This window comes from Homo sapiens, chromosome 5, assembly GCF_000001405.40.
Source record: "Homo sapiens chromosome 5, GRCh38.p14 Primary Assembly".
NCBI classification, from domain to species: Eukaryota; Metazoa; Chordata; class Mammalia; order Primates; family Hominidae; genus Homo; species Homo sapiens.
The window spans coordinates 2,094,499-2,117,577 of record NC_000005.10 but is presented as its reverse complement, the minus strand read 5'-3'; the positions used below and the strand labels follow the sequence as shown (position 1 = coordinate 2,117,577).

The 23,079-nt window shown below is 46.0% G+C and overlaps 1 long non-coding RNA gene across 1 annotated transcript in view, besides 4 other annotated features; it reads right to left on the bottom strand.

The window, feature by feature from the left end:
- LOC105374618 (uncharacterized) overlaps window positions 1-23,079 on the bottom strand; it is a 188,354-nt gene that overhangs the window by 1,809 nt on the left and 163,466 nt on the right. Inside the window, exons 8-12 of the long non-coding RNA NR_171679.1 lie at window positions 20,936-21,052; window positions 19,786-20,339; window positions 17,449-17,499; window positions 14,378-14,675; window positions 3,041-3,235 (exon numbers count right to left, since the gene is read on the bottom strand). This is a non-coding gene — a long non-coding RNA (uncharacterized LOC105374618). The remainder of the gene's footprint in view (window positions 1-3,040; window positions 3,236-14,377; window positions 14,676-17,448; window positions 17,500-19,785; window positions 20,340-20,935; window positions 21,053-23,079) is intronic.
- Window positions 4,262-5,637: an enhancer, noted in NCBI's record as "VISTA enhancer hs633". NCBI's record gives its function as "enhancer in: dorsal root ganglion[4/12]" and the evidence as "EXISTENCE:transgenic organism evidence [ECO:0001131][PMID:17130149]".
- Window positions 6,255-6,424: an enhancer, noted in NCBI's record as "experimental_83872 CRE fragment used in MPRA reporter constructs". NCBI's record gives its function as "activates a minimal promoter by MPRAs in K562 erythroleukemia cells, with activity observed for both the introgressed and non-introgressed 5:2111353 variant alleles {active_cell/tissue: K562}" and the evidence as "EXISTENCE:reporter gene assay evidence [ECO:0000049][PMID:34662402]".
- Window positions 15,952-16,121: an enhancer, noted in NCBI's record as "experimental_83860 CRE fragment used in MPRA reporter constructs". NCBI's record gives its function as "activates a minimal promoter by MPRAs in K562 erythroleukemia cells, with activity observed for the non-introgressed 5:2101656 or rs56059016 variant allele {active_cell/tissue: K562}" and the evidence as "EXISTENCE:reporter gene assay evidence [ECO:0000049][PMID:34662402]".
- Window position 16,036: a transcriptional cis regulatory region, noted in NCBI's record as "Neanderthal adaptively introgressed variant 5:2101656 (GRCh37/hg19 assembly coordinates) or rs56059016 in the experimental_83860 CRE". NCBI's record gives its function as "modulates activity of the experimental_83860 enhancer by MPRAs in K562 erythroleukemia cells {active_cell/tissue: K562}" and the evidence as "EXISTENCE:reporter gene assay evidence [ECO:0000049][PMID:34662402]".

Here is a 23,079-nt window from a genome sequence, read left to right as displayed (position 1 = left end):
CTTAGTCTCCTGTGTGATGGTATCTCATGATGGGGCCTTTGGCAGGTTATAGGTCATGTGAGTGGGACCCTAGGAACAGGATTTGTGCCCTTAAAAAACAGGCATGAGAGAGCTTCCTCTTCCCAGCGCCCTCGCCACCAAGAGAGGACACAGCGAGAAAACGCTGTCTGCAAACCTGGGGGAAGGCCCTCACCAGACAGCAGGTCTCCTGGTGCCTTGACTTTGGACATCCCAGCCTCCAGAACTGTGAGGAAGAAATGTTTGTTGTTTGAGCCACTCCATCCACAGCTTCTGTTGGAGCACCCTTAGCTGGCTAAGACAGTAACAAACATTTAAAGAGATTAAAGAACCTAGAAATTCTGGTAGAAATGGGTGCACAGCATCTACAGGCAGCAGAGCCAACATTTACTAAACTCCAGGACATAGTAAACAACCGATGAGCAACGGGTGGGTCCTGCTTATGCCAGAGGACGCTGGTTCTGCAGGGGCAGTTAAGTTGGCTTTGAATCCTGTCTGTACCCAGACACAGGGTCTTCAGCAAGTCACTTGGCTTCTGTGCTCTGTTTCTCTCTGCATGGAATGGAGGCCACAGCATCTAAGCAAGAGGGTGGGGTCACAGAGGGAACACCACAATATCTACAAGAGGTGCTTAACACAGGATCTGTGTCTGGTTGGCGAAGAAGAAGGTGCCATTTTCTTTTCCGTGCTTGGCAGGGAAGGAACCCATCACCGTCTGCTGTGCCATGGCTCTGGTGCCTTCTCCCCCTCTGCAGTGATATGACTGGCAGACAGCGTGCTTCCGGGTGCTCCTCCCACCCGTCCCACCCATGGCTGCAGTGATCATAGTTCACAGGCAGCCTGGACTCCACAGCCAGGAACAAGGCTGGCTGAGACATTCCAAGAAGCTGCTCTTTTCCAGGCATTGTGCTGAGCACCACCCAGGCATTTAACCCTCATACAAGCCCCAGGAAGAAGGATGATCATTCATTATCCAGTTCAGGGCAGAGATGGTGCTTAGTCTCTCTATGGCCACAGAGTTAAACATCCAGCCAGAATTCAAACCCAGATTTCCTGACATCTCAACTCCTAATTAAAATTAACTTCAGGCTTCCTTGGCAAATGTACCAGGCATCTTGCTGTGGCACCAAGGGTCATGTGGGGGAGGCCTGGGCAACAGGTGCCTCCTGCCACTTCACATGTCAGTGGCCTTCCCCTGGCCCAAGCACCCCACAGACACCCAGACATCACATTTTTAATTATAATAGTTATTTCACTTTTACTCTGTACATACATATGTCCTAACTGCCTCCACAAAGACCTGCAGAAGTTTATAGAAACTGAGAGAAAATAAAACAACATAGAAACGTAAGTCAAACATTGGTGTCGGAACCCACCGACTCATCACCCTTCATAGCCCAGGAGGATCTCTCAGTGCTGATGACACTCTGCCCAGGACGGAGGCTGGCGGCAGCTGCTGGAGGCACAGAGGGTGCTGCTTCTGCTTTATGGGCCCTGCCAGCCTCAGGCTCAAGCAGGCATCAAAAATCTTTGCTTTTACTTGAGCCACAAAAGCCTGTCATTTTTCTTAAAGATCCTCATTTAGCTGGAAATCCAGTCATCCTACAACTTGACTCTTGTCCCCTTCGTTTGCAAGAATATGCACTGAAGTTTGACCTCTGTAACTGATACGGTTTGGCTGTGTTCCACCCAAGTCTCATCTTAAGTTGTAGCTCCCATAATTCCCACATGTTGTGGGAGGGACCGGGTGGGAGATAACTGAATCATGGGGGTGGGTTTTTCCCATCCTGTTCTCATGGTAGTGAAGAAGCCTCACGAGATCTGATGGTTTTATAGATGGGAGTTTCCCCGCACACGCTCTCTTTGCCAGCTGCCATGGAAGACATCCCTTTGCTCTTCCTTCTCCTTCTGCCATGATTGAGGCCTCCCCAGCCATGTGGAACTGTGAGTCCATTAAACCTTTTTTTTTAATAAATTACCCAGTCTCAGGTATGTCTTTATCAGCAGTGTGAGAACAGACTAATACAGTAACCTAGAACACCTGTAATTCAGGTGAGCTGGGGTTGACCTTGCTCTAACCTTCTAAAGAAAGTCCATCCCCCCAACGTGGGTATAATTTTGTTAACCACTCCCATCTTGAAGACAGTAATAAAGGACAATTCCTGATCTTGAAAGGGAAGCAGAGAGACAGAAATGTACCATTCCCCTGATGATTTGACATGGGCAGGAAGAAAGCCATTCCTTTAAAAAAAAAAATCAACAACAACAACAAGGATTCTAGGGATTTTGAGGGTACTTTTAAGGGAACCAAAAAGATCTCTCTGACTTGGCAGGAAGGGCAAGCAATGTGGCCGTGCCAGCAGGGCCATCCTCCAGGGAGGGGGAGTGGCCCCTGCTCAGCAATGTGCAAGCTCCAGGCCACATGCAGTGGGGCCTCTGAGGACGACATCCCAGCAAGTCTATATGGTGGCCTTTGCACGAAAGTCTGTGAATCTCTCCTTCCTCTTGGATAAGGGGAGAGGTTGGATACGAAAGGACCTCATTTTTCCCTCCATGTAGCTCTCCCGCAGTCACAGGCTCATGCCTAGACCCAAGTCATGCAAAGCCTGAGCACCAAGCTTTGCAAGAGCTGGCAGCCTCTGCAGTGGGACAAGAAGGGAAGGTACAAAGAGCCTACAGGAGAACTTGCTGGAAATGATCTGCAGAGGGAGGCAGGGCAAGAGGCCACACTCCACAGAATCGGGCCAGCTCCCCTCCCAGGGAAGCCAGGGCCTGAGAAACTGCACTTGGAGGAATCTGCCAGGCACCATGGGCTCAGGCCATTGTGCACAGCACACAGGCCACTCATTCCACATTTCCAGAGAGGGCCATTCATGTAGACCACGGTGCAAACTGGGCCTGTTGGAGGGGAACAGCTTACATTTACACAATCCTCTGGGTCAGCCCTGAGACCTCCCACTCGACCCACCCACCAGCAATCTCACACTCCAGGTCCGGGGAGTATTGACTCCTTCTCACTCACCATTCGCTGGAAGGGGATCTCGAATGATGGGAAGGACGGGGATAAGTGACCAGCACCGATGCTTCTGTACTGCTTGGTTTAATCATCAATGTCAACCCCACCTTCATACCCACGTGCTTTTGTGAGACACTCAGCGATCCTTACACAGATGACTGGCATGGATGTCCATTTGGAGCAATCACTTTGGCTTTTATCCTGAAAAGGCAAAATCTTCAATGATCAATTATGTTGCAATTTTGAGAGTTATAACTGCAAGAGGAGAAACCAAGTGCCACAGTTTAATTATACACTTAAATCTAGATTTGCATAGTTCATCTCAGTATCTATAGAAATTATTAGGTGCATAAAATTGTATCTGCCATTTGCAACAGATACTGATATCTTTCTATACGTATGGAGTTTAGCAAAAAGCCAATTCACTAATATGGAATTTTCCTTAAAAAAAAAATGACCTTGGTTCATAGCTGTAAAGTCTCCACCCTTGTAGAGCTGAGCTCATCCCATTCACAGCCCACAGGATGCTAAGTGGATTCTCCCAGCTGCAGCGCACACCCCAGCCCACTCACGATCCCAGAGGTGTGGGCAAGGGCTGATTCCAAAGACTTCAGTTTTGCAGGAAAGGACAGACAGGAATATAAAGTAAGTCTAGAACCAGGGACATGATTATCCCCCAGGCACCTTCTTCACTCACTGGAACCCTCGCTGTGACCCAGCATGGGGCTGTGCTAGCCGGCAAGCTCTGTCAACACCAGAGCAGACTGGTGCAGAAACAGGCAGTCTTAAGCTGTGGGCAACATTTGATCAGGCAGGCAGAAAAATTCTTCCGACCTTATTAGGAGTTTCAGGGCAAAGCTAGTTTTACCACAAAATATAGCACCAGGAGTATGTTTTCCAAAGTCTATCATTAAATTTGGCCTCCTAGGAGGCAACTCTCATATCCTTATCCTTCTTTAACCTATGACTAGACTGACATTGTTGAGCGTGCCATGTGTGTGACATGTGTCTTCCTCTACGTCACTGAAGAGTCCAAAAGTACGAGGAAAAAATGATGTTCAAGCATCAACTGTATCTAAAAGCGCATTGTTTATAAACAGCCCCTTGACCAGATTGAGAAATATTAAAGGCTCATATTTGAGAAGTCATATTCCCCAAATGGGATATTGGCAACTCTTCCATTTTTTGTCCTTATTCTTTACAGGAGACACAGAAGCTGTCGCTTCTCAGGCCCATATCCAAAAATTATCTGGTCCGAATATTCTTCTGTGATGCTATTTTGCAGGGTTGACATAATCAGGGCGGCATAATTCAATTTTTTTAATTAGCCATTTATTATAGTGTGGGCAAGACATAAACATTTCCATGAATCACACACGTAAATAACGGAAACTAAAAGTAAAATGAATTTTCCCTATCGGCAGGGTAATAGTTTAATTGTACACAGTTATTCTTACATTAAAAGCTGCATACCTGGCAAGCTTTATCGGGTAACAGGGACTTTTAAATGTGCCAATGTTTCTACACAAGTAACGTGGGTCAATTGCAAAAGGGATAACCATAATGATTAAATCATTAAAATTTTGTCTACGCTTCACAGAGCATAGAGAAAATTAACTTCCCACCAACCTCATTTTTCTGCTGAACATGAAATAATGATTTTCTGCCAGTATAATTACAAAGCTAACATCTGATAGAGTCAGCATCCAGGGGGGATTATCACAGGCATGAGTATTAGACCTCATTACCAGCTTGACTGCAAAATTATTACATCTTGTAATTGGAGGGTGAGATTTATATACAGATTGGCCGGGTTTCTGTAAGATTGTAATTACAAGCTTCGTTGGTTTGCTACTTATCACACGGTGCAGGAGGCGGCAAAAACAAGCAGAGGGAAGGCCATTTCATTAAGCTGTAACCCTATCAAGGGAGGAGCGCTGTAACGTCCCTGTATTTATTAGGCCAAACAGAGCTGTTTGCAGAAGGGGAGGCCATTTATTACCGCCTGACAAATGGGATTTCATTTATTTAACCTCGGTGATCTATTTCAGTAAAATGTACAAACGAGCCATCCATTTTATGATTCCGGAGTCAACGCTCAATTATCTAAAGGGCTAACTGAGTGTTAAAGTGGCCATCTGCTAGGATGAATTCATTGATTTAATTTGCTCCACGTTGCTGAATGATTCCGGGTAGGCGAGGAGGTGGGGCGGCTGCCTGAGCGGGGCCGGGCGCCCCGAGTGTGTGCGCGCGTGTGCCTGGATGTGCACGCGCACGTGTTTAATCCTCACACAATGCAAGGAGGCGATCAATAGCAGCTTAAATTTTATGAGACAAGGAGTTAAGTTGTTCAGCTCAAGCCAGAACACCTTTGTTCTCCCACAACAAGTAATCTCCGCGGCGGAATTAATATTGACAGACTGGCTTCTTTGTGGCTAATTTGGAGGGCACCCGGGCCAATTGGCGGGCGGGCGGTGATAGAGCTGTTATTAGGGTTCATTACGCCCCGCGCGATCGATGCCCCGGGCCGCCTGCAGGAAGGAGGCGCGCGCCTGGGCCCCGGCCTCAGCCAGTCCGCACTGCACTCCGGCTTTCAAAAGGCGGCTTTTGCAAAATAAATAAATAGGAAGGAAATAAATGGGCGTTTCTTGGCGAGGCAGGTCTCGGTGTTCTGAGCCATGGGCTTGGGGAGGAGGAGAGGAAATGCGGGGAGGGCGGCGCGGAGGCGGTCAGGCCCTGCTGTGCTCCAGGGACCCGCGTTCCCCAGGACTGGACCCCGACCCCAGCGGTGGCTCAGCTCCTTAGGGTTCGATGCCCCCCGCCTAGTCCTTGCCAAGCCCCACAAGCCGGCTCAGCCTCTGTGGAATGAACAGGAAGGTTCCATGGCAGGAATGAACATTTCCGGGGTGGGGCAAACGGTCTCTCTAGGGCGCTCACACCCTTGCTTAGGCTTTGGGAGTGTTTTTGTCACAGACATCTTCACCACACAGAAGGAGCCTGCGGAGCTGGTGCTCACAGGGAAGTTTCTAGAACATTCCTCTCTGCAAGATGCTGCCTCTCTCAACTCTGAAAGGGCCCTAGTGGGTACAAGCACCCCTCAGACAATAACTCATCTATCTTGTGGCCAACTCAGCGCACATGAGAAGCTTTCCAGAGTGGGCACAGGAAAGCCGTGCACCCTGCGTTTCTCTCCGCGGCCGGACAGCTGTGCATGAAATCGGGACAGCATCACACTCCAGAAGGGAAAAAGACAGGCCTGTGCTGATGAGGGTCATGGCTCCCGCCTTTGATGCCCGGGTCCTTGATGGTGGGTAGAGGGTGGCGGCCTCCGCTCTGCTGCTGGCCAAGCCCAGTGCTTCTCTGCCCACAGCACAGGGGGAGGAACTCTGGATTCTCTTCACGCACACTCTCTTGTTGTGGTCACAGTCTCCTCTGTTCTCCCCATCTCCTCCCCAGTGAGCTGTCTGCCTCCAGCTGTGGGCTCCACCGCAGGCCTCTGCCCACCTCTCCCTCGCTCACTACCCAGCCCCTCTCTCCCACCCATGCCTTCTCCTCTAAGTCCTCTGTTCCTAAGCAGCTCTGTTGGAAGAGCGCACTAGCGTCCCGTGTCAGTGTTGGGAAGGACGACGTCTCCCGTGTAGCTCCTCCTGTGGACTTCTAGAGCTGCCCGGGTCCTGCTGCACACCTGGGTCCTGCCGCACATGGCCACTGGCTCACTCTCCTGGTGAATGAGCCTTGGCCAAATGCAATCACTGCTCCCACCAGTGTGTCTCCTGGGTTCCCGCGCAGGATATCCATGCAGCACACCAGGACATCACCCGGGCGACACTGTCCTCAGAGAACAAGAGTATACTGAGAGTCCTCAGGAGGTGAGCTCTGCTGAGTGTCAGTGCGTCTTCAGGGCCTGGTGGGGACTGCAAGGGGCCTGGAGTCCGCCCCGTGGAGGCAGCGGTGCAGAAGCGCGGGGAGTCTGCCATCGGGTGGTCCCTGCAGGTGTGATGATTCACAAGTGCTTCAGCACTGCACGTTCAGTTCACTGGGAGAGAAACACACCCGTGTTTTTAAAGAAGTATCCCTGGTCCAATACCTCCAGATGAGAGTTTTCCCAAAAGAATCAATTTGGAAATTCTCTGCCTTTATGAGCATTGGAAATATTCTGCGCCTCCTGTTTTCAAAGCCTTTCCTGTATTACAGTGGGTTGTTTGAATTACCCCAATAGTGGCCACTCTTTGCCATTGCAGGGGCCTTTTTTTTTTTCTTTTTTCTTGAGACAAATTGAAACCAGTGTTTATGTCACATTTATACTGTGCATTTAGTTTGTCTACTCAATGTTTTCATTACACTGATCAACTAGTAATCATTAAGAAATATTTACACTTGAAACTGAAAATCATTAATGAATGGGCTAACCTATGCATTATAACTTATTTACTTTTAAAATTTATTTTAAGACAGTTCTTAGCTTCTGCCAGGAATCTACAGAATAAATATGAGCAATTGGTCTTGTGTTCCATTTGCTCATAGATAAAATAAGCAAACTTGACATATCAAGTATTTCTCCTTAGAACCTGAATTATCCTATTGATTTTTGTATCTAAAGAACTATATGGCACTCCATCTTGCCTCTCTTATTTGCTATTTTAGGGGCAGGCGCTTTAGGCTGTGTTTATTTAGAGCAATCGATGTGATGTAGTCGTTTAATCATTTGCACAATCTAAATGGTTCCCACAAGCCATTGAAACAGGAAACCGACTTAATTGGTCTTAGAAATAGCCACAATAGCCAGATTAGTTTCAATGCTTGGATCAGGCAGTTGCTTAAAACAGAAACAAACACAAAAACAAAATCAACAACAATGATGTCAGTACAACCGTAGCCAGGAGAGACTATGTGCTGTGTGGACTTCCAACCAGATGTCTGCATTTGTGTGGGGTGTGGGGGGACCCACAGTACATGGTACCCAGGAGTGATGTGGAAGCCCAGCTTTGTTGATTATTCGGTTATTGTTACCACAGGGAATTGAAGACTGGGGTTGGGTCAAGATTTGAGCAGGACTCTGAGAGTTGAAAGTGGCATATCCCATGACTGACACCAAAATGCCTTTTCCAGTAAAAGGAAGAGTTTAAGTGCTAGCCTCCAAGGATCACAGACCCACACGGCCACCAGAGAGAAGGCGGGAAGGTATCCCAGCTTTAATGAGACTCATTTCCTCCATTCGAGGCACTGACTCCAGGGAGCCTTCTTGTCAGAAGTACAATCTTTTTTGTCTGCACTTAAAAAAAATATAAAGTGTTGTTTAAATCCCAATTGTTTTCAGCAATAGAAAAAAGCACAGCAAGATATGTCTAGCATTTTCTAAATATCAATGAGTTATTGTTCAACTCATTCTACTTCAAGACAGCAGAAACTACAAGATTAATTTGTGTTGTTTATCCCTTGAGAAATTGTCCAATTTATAATAAACATTAGTACATAAACCTAGACACATTCACATTTATTACTTATATCTAATATACTCAGTCTCAGGAAACTATATTACCTTTTTTGAGAGTATTGTGATGCTACAAATTAATTTGATTCAGCTTTCTCCCTTAAATAATTCCTCCTAACAGAAAACCCTGTTTAGACTATTTCCATTTAATGCAATTATTGATACAGTTAGATTTAAATCTACCACCTTGCAAGATGTCCATGTTTTCTACTTGATTTCTATTTTCCTCATTTTCTGCCTTGTTTTGGATTAATTTTTTTATGTTTTAATTTTATCTCTACTGTTGATGCAACAGTTCTATCTATCCATCTATCTACCCATGTGGCCATCTATCTATTCATCCACCTACCCATGTAGCCATCTATCTATTCATCCACCTACCCATGTAGCCATCTATCTATTCATCCACCCATCAATCTATCCAGCCATCTATCCATCTATCCATCTGTCTATTCATATATACATCTCTTTATCTATCTATCTACTCATCTACCTATCTTTCTATCCATCTATCCATCCGTCTATCTATCAATCTATCTATTCATCTATCCATCCATCTACCTATTCATCTGATATGGTTCAGCTCTGTGTCCTCACCCAAATCTCATCTTGAATTGTAATCCTCATAATCCCCACATGTTGAGGGAGGGACCCGGTGGGAGGTGATTGGATCATGGGTGTGGTTCCCCCAGGCTGTTCTCATGATAGTGAACGAATTCTCATAAGATCTGATGGTTTTATAAGTGTCTGACAGTTCCTCCTTCACGCACTCTCTCTCACCTACCACCATGTAATATGTGCCTGCTTCCTCTTCCACCATAATTGTAAGTTTTCTGAGGCTTCCCCAGCCAAGTGGAACTGTGAGTTAATTAAACCTCTTTTCTTTATAAATTACCCAGTCTCAGGTAGTATATTTATAGCAGTGTGAGAAAGGACTAATATACTATCTATCTATCTATCAATCTATCTATGTCTACATCTATTTATTCATCTATCCATCTATCTATCCATCTACCAATCTACATATCCATCTATCTATATACATCTATTCATCTATGCATCTATCTACCTATCCATCTATCCATTCATCTATCCATCCATCTATCCATCTATCTATTCATCTATCTATCCGTATATACATCTATCTATCCCTCTATATATCTATCTATTCATCTATCCATCTGTCTACCTATCCATCTGTCCTTCTATTCATCTATCCATCCATCTATCCATCTATCTATTCATCTATCTATCCATATATACATCTAGCTATCCCTCCATATATCCATCTATCTATTCATCTATCCATCGTCTACCTATCCATCTGTGCTTCTATTCATCTATCCATCTATTCATCCATCTATCCATATATACATCTATTCTCTATATATCTGCCTATCTATTCATCTACCATCTGTCTACCTCTCCATCTGTCCTTCTATTCATCTATCCATCCATCTCTCCATCTATCTATTCATCTATCTATCCATATATACATCTATCTATCCATCTATATATCTGCCTAGCTATCTATTCATCTATCCATCTGTCTACCTCTCCATTTGCCCTTCTATTTCATCTATCCATCCATCTCCCCTGCACCTGTCCTTTGGGCTACTATTGTCATACGTTGCACTACTACTGATTTTATAGAATTCCATTTCTTTTCATGGTTGCTCTGGCAATTTAATACACTTTTTAACTTTTAGTAGGTCTACTTTTTATGTAAAATATTGAAATCTTACAGCTTTAAGGTCTATATTTTTTCCATGCCCTTATGTTATTATTGTCAAACGTAACACAACTACACACATTATAAACCCATGACACAATGTTACCTTTTTCAAAACAGTTTATAGCTTCTATGAAATCAAGGTGAAGAAAGGCAAAAAAGAAAAATAGTATTTTGAATTTATTCAGATATTTACCATTTCTGATACTCTTTGTTTGTCCCTTATGTTCTGAGCTTCCTTCTGGTGTCACTATTATTCTTCCCCAGGAACCATCATCAACATTTCTTGTAGTGATGAGTTCTTTTAGTTATCTTATATCTTAAAATGTCTTTATTTTACCTCCATTCTTAAATGATAGTTTCACTGGATATAGTATTTGGAGTTGACATTATTTTTCTTCCAGCACTTTAAGGATGTTGGTCCACTTTCTTTTGGCCTCCATGGTTGCTAATAAGAGGCAGCTCTTGACTGATTTTTATTCTTGTCCTAAGCCGTATTTTCGTCCTCTCATGCATGCCTGGAAGTGGCTTTGTTTGTTTGCTGGATGTTGAAAACTGTTAATTTTATGTTGTTGGATGCCAGATTTTATTAGATTCCTATAAAGAATATTGTGGGGTTTTTTCCTGTTTGTACTTAGGTATTTTTGAAATTCGTTTGATCTTTTGAGGATTTGAAGCTTTGTTAGGGAAAGTCAGAGTGCTACACAGTCTAGAGCTCATTTACCTCCACTTCTGAACCAACCAACACATCTTCAGACTCTATCTGATGCCGTATGTATTATGGGTTTCTCCCACATTGGCTGTTGGAATTCAAACTATTCTCAGCTCTGTGTAAACTTTGAGAAAATTTTCAGCCTACTGCTATCAGATGGTTCTTTCCATTTGTAGTAAATTTTTGTTTTTTCTTTCTTGAGAACAGAGATGTTTTCCTTGTCCGTGGTGTTTTTCAGTGGCATTTCTATAACTTGGTGAGGATTTCTTTTTAATTCTGCTGCTTGGGGTTTACTGGGCTTCATGAACTTGAGATTCGGTGTCTACTGTCAGTTGCTGACAGTTCGGAGCCTACCTTTCTAATGCTACCTCCTCACCATACCCTTACCTCTCTGCCCTTTCTTTGAACACTCTTGTGTATTTTCTGTATTTTTGTAACTCTGTTGTGCATCCTGAGTCAGTCCTTAAAATCTGTCTTCCATGTTTTATATAGAGTAACTTAGCTCCAATTCAGCCTTTAAGGTCTATGTGACCCCCCCGCTGTGCTTATTTTCATTATTACGTTTTTCATTTCTAGACATTCTATTTGGTTCTTTGTCAATTCCACATGTCAATCTTGGTAGTCTCTGTTACCTTCATCATTCATGCATTTCCTCTTCTGATTTTTAAATATATTACATGTGTTTATGTTCTGTTTCGGGAGATGCCAATATCTGGAGTGTGTGTGGTTCTGATTTTGTAGCTGTTTCTGTGCATCCTGGGTTGTGGCAGCTTATTTCCTCATTTGTCCTATGAAGGTTTGTTCTGACCTCTTGTTTTATGGAATTTCATCAGTGGGAAGTCTTTGAGGTCATTGTCCTTATGTAAAGTATATTCCTCCAGAAAAGACCTGAATTTGTTTCTGCTTGAGTGTAACAATACGAATAGGAATACTCCCCCCTCATTCTCTCCATTGGAGTCAAAATTAAGACAGGTTCTATTCCAGACCTGTGTTTCCCAGACCTCCCACTAAGGGCACGATTCCTCAAAGCCCAGGCTTTGTGGCACCCCTGGTGTGACCTCACCCTACCCAGGCGCTGCCTCCTGTCCCACCCAAATGAGACCTTTTACACTCAGGATGTAACTGCCAGACGCAGTGAACAACAAGGCGGTGGCTTAACCCACAGACCCAGGGCAGGGGACCCAGGGCCGCTATAGGCAGCTGAGTAGGTTACTCGCAGTGCCCGCAGCGGGGAGCCGTGAACACGCCCTGTGATGTAAGCAGTTCCTTCCTCGGTTGTGCAGGAAGAAACACAGAGCCAGAGCTTCAGCATCATGCCTTCCTGTAGCCCAGTCACACTTTCGCTGAGCCCAGCATTTTCAGAGACCCTGGGTGAGAGGGACTTCTCTGAACACATAGTCAGAAAGAGTGCTGGCAAGGCGAATTCCACAGCCTGTTTTCCCCCAAGTACCCTGACTCCCAGTCAGCATTGGTCATCTCTGCCACTGCCTCACTGTGCCCACACCTGGCCTGCAATTTATTTCTATTTACCAACCAAAGGCAATATCCGTTCCATTTTGTACATTCAAAAAGAATGTAAAATCTTCATGGAAATGGATTTAAAATTGCCTCAATCATTTACTTAAGATGAATTAAAAATTCAGAATTATGACAAGTAATACTTGTATAAGTTACCCATATAATTACTGTATTTCAATAAGAAACTACCAGAAAAAGCTAAATGTATGACATAAATATAAGACAAAATATTGCATATAATTTGGAATAAGACCAACAAAGAAAAACCTATCACTTTTAAGCAAAACTTATCAGCGGTCTGGCTTAAATTTGGGTTGAATTCAGGGTAAGCCCAGTCAGATGAGCCATTTGGATGAGAAGCTTTCAGTTTGTGTTTCTTATGATAGCTCCCTGAGGAAGAAAATTTCTTGCCATTTCACATCTAATATAAGTCCATTGTTGGTGAAAAGATGACTAAATTAGTTCGTCATTTTGTAATAAAATATCTCATGACTTGTTTATCTGATCAATGAAGAGTGCATTCTCAAGCTGTTCAGTGTTAATGGGCCCGTTGCCCTAAAATGGTGAATTATTGACTCTCGGGGAGACATGGGGGTTTGAAAACTCAGATCAGATTTCCTGCTTGAAATTGACAGATTGCAGTTAAATTGTTAGAATCAAGAATGCAGGCCCTTTGCCTCTCACACCGTGGAGATGCCAAAAATGTAAAACCATTGGTAACAACATTATGAAACTAGCTTTTTAAAAAAATTACATCTTGACACAAAATTGCAGGTTCAAATGTGAAAAAGTTATGCACATAACCACAGAAATATTTTGGTGCAATTTGAGAGGTCCAATTTCTGTACTCCGGTAATGTATTTATCTTAGTTGGTTTGAGCTGGGTTTTGAAATGTATACACGCGTTCATTCACCATTCAAGTATCCATTTACTTATTTATCTGCTCACCAGGTTTTAACTGTGGTCTGACCACGTGCCAGGGACTGTACTAGCAATGAGGGCACTGCAGTGTACAGAGATGTGGTGCCTGGTCTCAAGGGTCTCATGGTGGTCCTAGGGAGATGGCAAGCAGATGTGCCACAGATTTGAGCCACATCCTATTGATCCAGAGCCTGGCTTTGGAGTCAGGTGAGCGCGGGTGCAGGGAAGCCTGCGTCCCAGCCCTGCTTGGCAGCCTGGGAAGATTGCTCACCTCTCTAAAACTCAGTTTTCCTATCTGTGAAATAGGCTTCATAACAATATTGGCTTACAAGGTTGTATTATGAGGAACCAGCAAGATGACCTACCTAGAATGCTTGCTACCCACCTGAGAGATGGAAGCCCTCACGGACGGACGTTCACTAACACTACGTTCCAAAACACATGTGCCTCAGAAAACACAGCGAGGTGACCCAGCAGTTGCCAAGTGTTCCACTTCCCAGCCGCTGTATCGGAGCACCGGCTGCAGGCCCTTACAGGCTCCCCTGTAGGCTGCACAGAGAAAAGCCCAGGCCGGCCAGGCCCCGGCATCTATGGGCTGCTCCCGCCTCACCCGTAAGGGCCACAGCATCAAGATCCACTTTGCAGGACTCTGGGTGGAGACAGTGGGTTTATTAAAATGCAGAGACCACTCCCTTCTCTCTACAAACTACCAAGATAATCAGGAAAAAAAGATAGTGATACCTTTCATAAAATTAGAAAAAACCTCTCACCACCACAATCCCCGGAAGGACTGTGAAGCAGGCTGGAACTTGGCCCACATGCTGCCCCGAGGTCTTCAGGGGAGCGACACAGCTCAGGCCCCGGCTTCTACAGCCGCAGGAGAGCAGGGGGGTGGCGGGAGGGGGCAGCTCCCTTCCCTTACGCTCACCTCTGCGGGGTCTGATTTGTTTCACTGCAGTGCTCCTCACCTGCAAGCTGCCATACACGTGGCGCCGCGGCCTCTGCTTCAGGACACCCGCTTCCCCGGCCTCCTGCTGCCTGGCCACCCTCCACCGTCACAGCCTCCGTTCCTGGAAAACTCTGCTGCCCTGATTTCCTGGGGAACGTTCTCCCTGAACCGGAGCTTCCGCTTGTCTTGGCCTATTGAGTGGAATCAGGAGGTTGCAGTGACGTCAGATGAACAAGCCCAGGGGTCTGGAATGCACCACGATGTCTGTCATTAGTAAAGCCACACGGCTCTCTGGAAAGTCGCTGAGTAGATCCGAGCTGCTCCCAACACATAAATAAAGGAGTTATGTGAGGAGAAGGAAGTGTTAATTAGCTTTACCATAGTAATCATGTCACTATGTCAGTGTACATGAGAACAACACATTGTGCACTTTAAATATACACAATTTTTATTTAAAATGTAAAATAATGTTAAGAAATCAATGAAAATAAATGACAGCAAAAACCCAATCTAATGGTCTTTTATCCAATCTAATGGTAGTAATTGGGTACAATTATTAGTATACTAAGTAAACTGGTGTCTCAAAACCTTTAAGAGTAGTAAGGTTTGGTGCAGAGAGACAGAGACACCTGAGCGCTTATAGCAGGCAGGTTCTGGAGAAGTCACTCAGGAGCGGCCTGTGCCATGGGCTCTGCATCCCCGCAAGGCTCACAGTGGTGCTTTCACACGCAGTCGTCTTCCATCCAAACCTGTGCCCTCCAGCTCGGAGCCACCTGCCCAACATAGCTGTTGGACACATGAAGCCTGCTTAGTCTGGCCGGGCACAGAGGCTCAGCCCTGTAATCCCAGCACTGTGAAAGGCCAAGGTGGCTGGATCACTTGAGGTCAGGAGTTTGAGACCAGCCTGGCCAACATGGCTAAACCTCATCTTTACCAAAAATACAAAAATTAGCCAGGCATGGTGGCACATGTCTGTAATCTTAGCTACTCGGGAGGCTGAGGTTGCAGTGAGCTGAGATCACGTCACAGGCAACAGAGAAAGACTCTGTCTAAAAAAATAAATCAATAAAATAAAGGTGTAAAATACACGGCCAATTGCAAAAAAAAAAAAAAGGAAAACGTACATTCTGAAATGACATTTTTAATATACTGGGTTAAATAAAATATATCATTTTTTAAAAAATGAACCACAAACTCAAGTGCTTTAGGGACCAGGCAAGGAGGAAGAAGAGAGACATCCCATGTAAGGGAGAGGTGGGCAGGCACCTGGGGAGGGAGGAACCCCGCCTGAAACTGTTGCATCCAGTCTCCGCCTGGGTGGACAGACCGCAGCTGCCGCTGAACAGCTGCATGTCCAGCTGTGAGCCCAAAGACCCTGTGCTGAGGCCCCCAGCAACATCCGTCCATCCAAATCAAAGTCCTGTTCTCAGAAGGAGTGCTGGCTTTGGAGTAAAGAGAATCTTGGCTCAACTCCAGGTGAAGTGAATTATTTCAGTGTTGGAGCCTCAGTTTCCCCAATGAAAAACGGGCCCAGTAATACCATCCACCACCTCCCAGAGTGACTGCAAGCTTCAGGACAGAAACTTGTGTCCGTATGTATCAAGTTCACACTACAAACTTGACTCCTAGGAAGCACTGACTAGTGGCTGCGCAGTGATGCGGTCTAGATATTTTACCCGTCATGCACGTTCGTGCTTGAAAATACTTCCAAGTAACTTGCGTCTGCTTCACAGGTGAGGAGACAGGGGCTCAGAGCCCCTGGGGGGCAGTGTCGGCCGTCCTCTCTGCATCACTGGCTCCACCATTCACAAAACACTTATCGTTGTGATCTTGGAGAGTAAATGTAGAATCTGACCCATGTTTCAAAATAACCGCATAAAGTTCCTACTAGGTATTCATTTTTTTTTTTTTGCTATGGTAAAGCATAGAGAATAGAATGCTTGCCGTTGTAGCCGTTTTTCAGCAGACGATGAAGGAGCATTAAATCATCTATTCACAATTTGTGTAGCCCTCACCACTGCTATCCCCAAAACTTCTTCACCATCCCCAACATAAGCTCGGCACCTCCAATAACAACACCCCCTCCATCCCATTCCCCAGCCTTGAGTGTCTCCACTCTACCTTCTGTCTGTGAAATTGCCTGTTCTAAGTATTCCGTGTCCATGGAGACATGTCATATCTGTCCTTCTGTGTCTGGCTTACTGCACTTCATGTGTTTTGCAGGTCCATCCTGGTTGCAGCGTGTATGAAAACTCCATCCCTTGTTGAGGCTGAAAGCATTCCCTTGTATGGACAGACCACGTTGGGCTTACCCATTCACCTCTCCATGGGCATGGTTGCTTCTGCTTTTTGGTTATGGTGAATGATGTTGTTATGACTTTCCTGTACAATTATCTGTTCCAGCCTCTGCCCACAATTCTTCCGGACATATATGCCTAGGAGTGGAGTTTCTGTGTGATACGGTAGTTCTACATTTAACTTTGTAAGGAGCCACCAAACTTTTCCATGCCAACTACTGGGTAATAGTTTTTACTGGAATTTACAATTTGTTTTGGGGGGTTTGGGCCCTTACCTCACCATCCACTAAAATATGTTACTGTGAAATGCACTAAAGTTCTAGAAAACAACAACAACAACAACTTAAGACCATTGCAAAATAAAACACAACATACGTCATAAATGCCCTGGCCAAGAATTATGTATGGGAAGTTCTAGAGGAAAACCAACAACTTATGATCATAATAAAATAAAACACAATGTAAATCATAAATTCCCTGGCCAACAATTACATGTACAAGAAGTTCTAGAGGAAAACCAACAACTTAAGATCATAGCAAAATAAAATACAACATAAATCATGAGTGGCCCGGCCAACCCTACATGTACAGGAAGTTCTAGAGGATAACCAACAACTTAAGACAATTGTAAAATACAAGATAAATCATAAATGTCCCAGCCAACAACTGCATGTATGCAAAGTTCTAGAGTATAACCAACAACTTAAGACCATAGGAAAATAAAATATAACATAAATCATAAATGCCCTGGCCAACAATCACATGTATAGGAAGTAGATGACTTTAAAATTACCATACATTGACCAGTGTTTTTACTGTGGTTTCTTCTGCTTCAAGCTTAGCCCTAAGAAAAGGAAAAGAGAAAAGCATAAATAAAACAAAAAATTGTAGCCCCCTTTTGTCTCTTTGTCTCCACTAGAGACTAAGTATTTTCTCCTGGTCTACCCCATCAGTTACTTCCAGAGACGTTCACTGAGTTCCAGTCACTGCCAGGAACTTCGCTGAGTCCCAGGAGGGGTCACGTGTGCTCAGCCCTATTTTTATATGTACTTTTTACAATGGAAGAGGACCTGAAGGATATAACTTTTTTCTCCTTTGTTTTCAAGTTAAAACCCAGAGTCCTTTAGTGATCATCTTACCCAGGAATAGGAGTAGTTGGCAGAACAAGAGAACTGAGGCCTCACCCCCAACCCCCACCATCCCCCAGCTTTGTGACTTGGGCCCCTCAACTTTATTTCTCCGATCTCGATTTGACTTTCTATGCAGGAGGAGTGGGGCGTGGACCCCATCCCCCTGTCACTGGGCTGGGCCTGGAGACCCCAGCTGAGCAGAACAAGAAAACCAAATGCAAGGAGACTTGTGATGGAGTTGTGAGGACACACCCAGGTGTGTTGGGGTCTCAGGGACATACCCAGGTGTGTTGGGGTTTGAGGGATATACCCAGGTGTGCCGGGGTCTCAGGGACATACCCAGGTGTGTTGGTGTCTCAGGGACACACCTAAGTATGCTGGGGTCTCAAGGATATATCCAGGTGTGTTGGGGTCTTGGGGTCACACCCAGGTGTGTCGGGATCTCAGGGATATACCCATGTGTGTTGGAGTCTCACGGACATACCTAGGTATGCCGGGGTCTCAGGGATATATCCAGGTGTGTTGGGGTCTCAGGGATATACCCATGTGTGTTGGGGTCTCAGGGACATACCTAGGTGTGTCGGGGTCTCAGGGACATACCCAGGTGTGTTGGGGTCTCAGGGACATACCTAGGTGTGTCGGGGTCTCAGGGACATACCTAGGTGTGTCGGGGTCTCAGGGATATACCCACGTGTGTTGGGGTCTCAGGGACATACCTAGGTATGTCGGGGTCTCAGGGATATACCCAGGTGTGTTGGGGTCTCGGGGTCACACCCAGGTGTGGGGCTGCAGAGGAGTTGGCCAACCCCCTGGGAGATCTTATCCGTCCTGGATATCAGAAGTGGACTAGGCACTGCCCGGTGAGGGAGAGAATGATGTGGTGATGGGGTTTTCTTCTGATGAGAAACCTTCAACCTTGACCTTAAATTGGCCTGGGTGTGAACTTCCCACACTCACACCAAGTTGAGCCAGACTGTGGAGCTGACACAGGGGTCTGTCTCTACTGATGTGGAACAAGGATGTGGGAGTCTCACAGCTGCCACCCCAATAAGGAAATTTGAGATGCAGCTTTTCTAAGTGTGAATTTAGGACACATTCGTGATATTAAGCAGTTAGAGGGGTGGGTGTCCGTCGAGGCCCACCCAAGGAAGCCGTGCTCAGCACTGCTCCAATCGCTCAGTGAGCACCACAGCAGAAGCTGGGTTTTTTAAATAAATGAATACTATACAAGGTCAATCTTGAAGACTCTGCTTTTAAAAAGGAAGCACTTGTGGAAATTGCTGGAAATGATGCAGGCCAGGCCTGCGGAGAGCAGAACTCAGGGAGGCCTCAGGGGTGTGAGGTCCTCATGGGTCCTCCTCTGTGGCAGCTGAGCCCTGAGGCCTGAAGACCAGCTCGATGCCTGGTCCCCTCACCTGGCACCAGGGGCTGATCATGGACCAAAAAGGGCGTCATCCCCAGCGAGCGGCCATCAGATCTCTCTCCTTAAATGCACGTCTCCCATCTGGACTGCTTAGGCTCTCTACTAAGAATCCTAAGCCTTTCTGTGTTCACCTGCAAACAGGAAGTCCTAGGTCTTCATAATAAATAGCCCATAAGATCTAGAACTTGGGTCATGGTTAAACCTCAGTGAAGATGAGCAAGTTTATAGTAAAAGGGAATATGGATGAAAAAGAGCAAGACTGCAAGGAAGGAGAAGGACAAACGTGGGGGCTGGGGGAAGAGAGAGAGAAAGAGGGAGAATAAGAGGAGAGAGAGAGAAAGGGAAAGAGAGAGAGAAAGAGAAAGAAGGAATGAGAGAATGAGAGAGAAAGAGAGAGAGGAGAGCACTCTGTTCCCACACTCAGGTCCCTTCAGGAATGAACACAGGAAACTAGGCTGGACGTGAGGTCACTGTGCCTCATTTATCGCCTGCCTCTAGGAACTGCCACCCTTAGGTCATCTGGGAGATGAGCATGGGTTTTGTGATTTCATGAGGGAAGGAGAGGAAAGCAACCCACCTCAGCTCAGCAAAATCCTCATTCCAGCTCTCTGGATATCCTCGCACTCTGGATCCCCTGTGTGGCAGAAGTCACAGATCACCCAGAACAGGGGAACCTGCATTTTTCTAGCAAATTTGCTATTCCTGCCAGGTGAGCATCCTGCCAGGTGAACATCCTGCCAGGTGAGCATCCTGCCAGGTGAGCAGGTGCCTTCTCTGGCAGATCAATGGCAGCCTTGTGGCTTTCCAGCACCCATCGCCCCCTCAGCCCACTCCATTCTATCACAGGAAGAGCAAATCACATTTTGGGAGATGCTTGGTACCATAGAGGGCATCTCCTTAGGCACAGGTGCTAGGACAGTGCGCAGGGTCACCTGCGGCAGAGCCCACCATGGACCCCCTCCTCTTCTTGGCCCCACAACACCTCATCACAGGTCCTGAGGTCCTGGGAGATGCAGACCCTGGCTTTCCAGCCACGGCAGCACTCAGTCACTGTAGACGTGGTCGCCAGGGGACGAGGTCACAGACATTCTTTTGGTGTCGTCCGCTGGAGATATGATCACATGCTCAACCCTGAAGCAAGAGAAACAAACTGAGAACAGAATTGGAGGCGGGAACGGGGAGAGCCGCTACGATCCACCAGCTCACCTGTGGAGAGAGAACCAAGGAAAAACAGTATTGATTTTTTTTACAAGCCAGTGCACAGATTTGTCAGACAAAAGAATAGAGATGTCAACCCCTGGACCCGCTCTCCAGCACGGCAGGCCTTCAGGCGGCCAGAGCCAAGGCGGCACTCCGCGACTCCTGCACTGGCTGCAGAGGGGATGGGCAGTTTGATGAAAGAAGGAAACGCCAGCCCTCGCACGGATATGCGTGTCAGTAACTCCCACCTGAGCAGAGCTCAGAGATGCTTCCAGCACAGCCCAAGAGAGGTGGCTCCCTGGTCTCAGCATCTGCCGAGGTTACCTCTCTCCTCTGGGGGCTGTGGGAGGCGCTTCTGCACGGGGTCACAGGAAGGTTTTGGATGTTTACCTGAAGGGCGGTTCTGTTAGAAAACTCCAAAACCAACGGACATTTTAGATTTCAAAGAGAATCCAGTACAACGTATTTTCATCTCCTAACCCAACAAAAGGGAATCTGAGCTGATTATTAGAAGTTTACTCTTTTACCTGGCAGGGGGCAAAGAGCATAGACATCCCCAGGTCTCCAGATGCACAGGTGGAGGAATTCGTCCACTAACGCACCCTCGGAACAAACACCTGAACACACAGGAAAACTCGGTGTATCTGGAGAAGGAATGTGTTCGTTAATTGCATTTTTGAATATCTAGCTAAGCACAACATCCCTTTAGAGTCCACCTGTCCTTTAAAATTCTTTCTAAAATAAATCTGACAATTTTCCTGATCTGCCATGCTGAATAGTTTGACGACATTGATCATTTGGGGAAATCGTGGCTGTCAGAGGCCATTCAGAAAATAATATTATGAGGATGAAGGACCACAGGTAGGGAGCCCCATAGAAGAGTTGGAACTGCTTCATTTTTGTGTTTACTCCTTTATTCAGGCTTGATAGGTTTCTCTGAGTTTTACCTTCCTCTTTCTAAGAAGGAAACTGCTGTCATGTAATTTAAAGTTCCCGTTGGTCATTTCTAATGAATAAAAGGTTACGAATGTCGAGTAGTAGTTGGGTGCCATGTAAACTAGTTCAACCATTGTGGAAGTCAGTGTGGTGATTCCTCAGGGATCTAGAACTAGAAATACCATTTGACCCAGCCATCCCATTACTGGGTATATACCCAAAGGACTATAAATCATGCTGCTATAAAGACACATGCACACGTATGTTTATTGTGGCACTATTCACAATAGCAAAGACTTGGAACCAACCTAAATGTCCAACAACGATAGACTGGATTAAGAAAATGTGGCACATATACACCATGGAATACTATGCAGCCATAAAAAAGGATGAGTTCATGTCCTTTGTAGGGACATGGATGAAGCTGGAAACCACCATTCTCAGCAAACTATCGTAAGGACAGAAAATCAAACACCACATGTTCTCACTCATAGGTGGGAATTGAACAATGAGAACACATGGACACAGGAAGGGGAACATCACACTCCGGGGACTGTTGTGGGGTGGGGGGAGGGGGGAGGGATAGCATTAGGAGATATACGTAATGCTAGATGACGAGTTAGTGGGTGCAGCACACCAACATGGCACATGTATACATATGTAACAAACCTGCACATTGTGCACATGTACCCTAAAACTTAAAGTATAATAATAATTTAAAAACAAATGGGTGGTCAACATTCTAACCTCTAAAATAATAGTTTCTGACAATACGATTGCTACATTTTTGAAAATTATCATAGCTAGGTCATCATACTTGGCATATACTCAAGTATGTTCTTTCATGTACATTTCTTAAACATGCATGTGTCTCCTGTGACATTTAGAGAAATGTCTCCTTAGACGCAATATTTCAAACATTAGAAAGTGCGGTCGCCTAAATTGCATTCACAGAGCTCCCTCGGCGGGATTCCTGAGTGCGATCCTGGGCGATCCCCCCACCGCGGTTTCTGGAAGACTCTGATGAACGCATCCACCAATGGGTGGGGAAATGAGGTCAGCATCCTGTGGTTCAAGGATCCTAGGATCAGTGACTGGGAGTTACAGGTTTGGGCATCACTCAGCATAAGTGGCTGTGAAACCCTAGGGCAGCGTCCCCTCTGAAAGCCCATCTGCTCGGACATGAAGTGCAGAAACTTGGGGTGAGTTGGGACACAGCTGGCTGCCCTGCCCAGCCTTGAGCTTTGGTTTTGCAGGAAGCCGGGTCCCAGCTAGTGGAGCGGGCTGCACTGTGGCCAGGGCGAGGGCCCAGCCCGGCTCCCCACCCACCGTCTGGTGACTGGGCCACGGCGCTGGGACTCGAGCGCTCCTAGTTCACAAGCCACCACCTCTGATGGGGAAACCAGACAGACGTGGCCAGAACTGGAGCACACCTTGTCCTTTCCCAGCCAGGGGACGCCAGTGTTCCTGTGGCCGGGGCCAGGGCTGGCCTGGCCGCCTCCTCCCCGATCCTGTCTCCTCTGGTGATGAGTTGTGTTCTCTTGGCAGTGGAACTCCCTAGAGAGTGGAAAACGTCATGCACTGACAACAGAAACAAAGTACAATGTTATCATGCAGTCAATATTTGATGGCCAAAGGCACAGTAAGGAATAATCTGAGTTAAAATAAAGCAGGGAATTGGATACATCAAAGAGTTTAGTGTTATCAGCCATTAAGGAAGGCAGCAGTGAGGCCA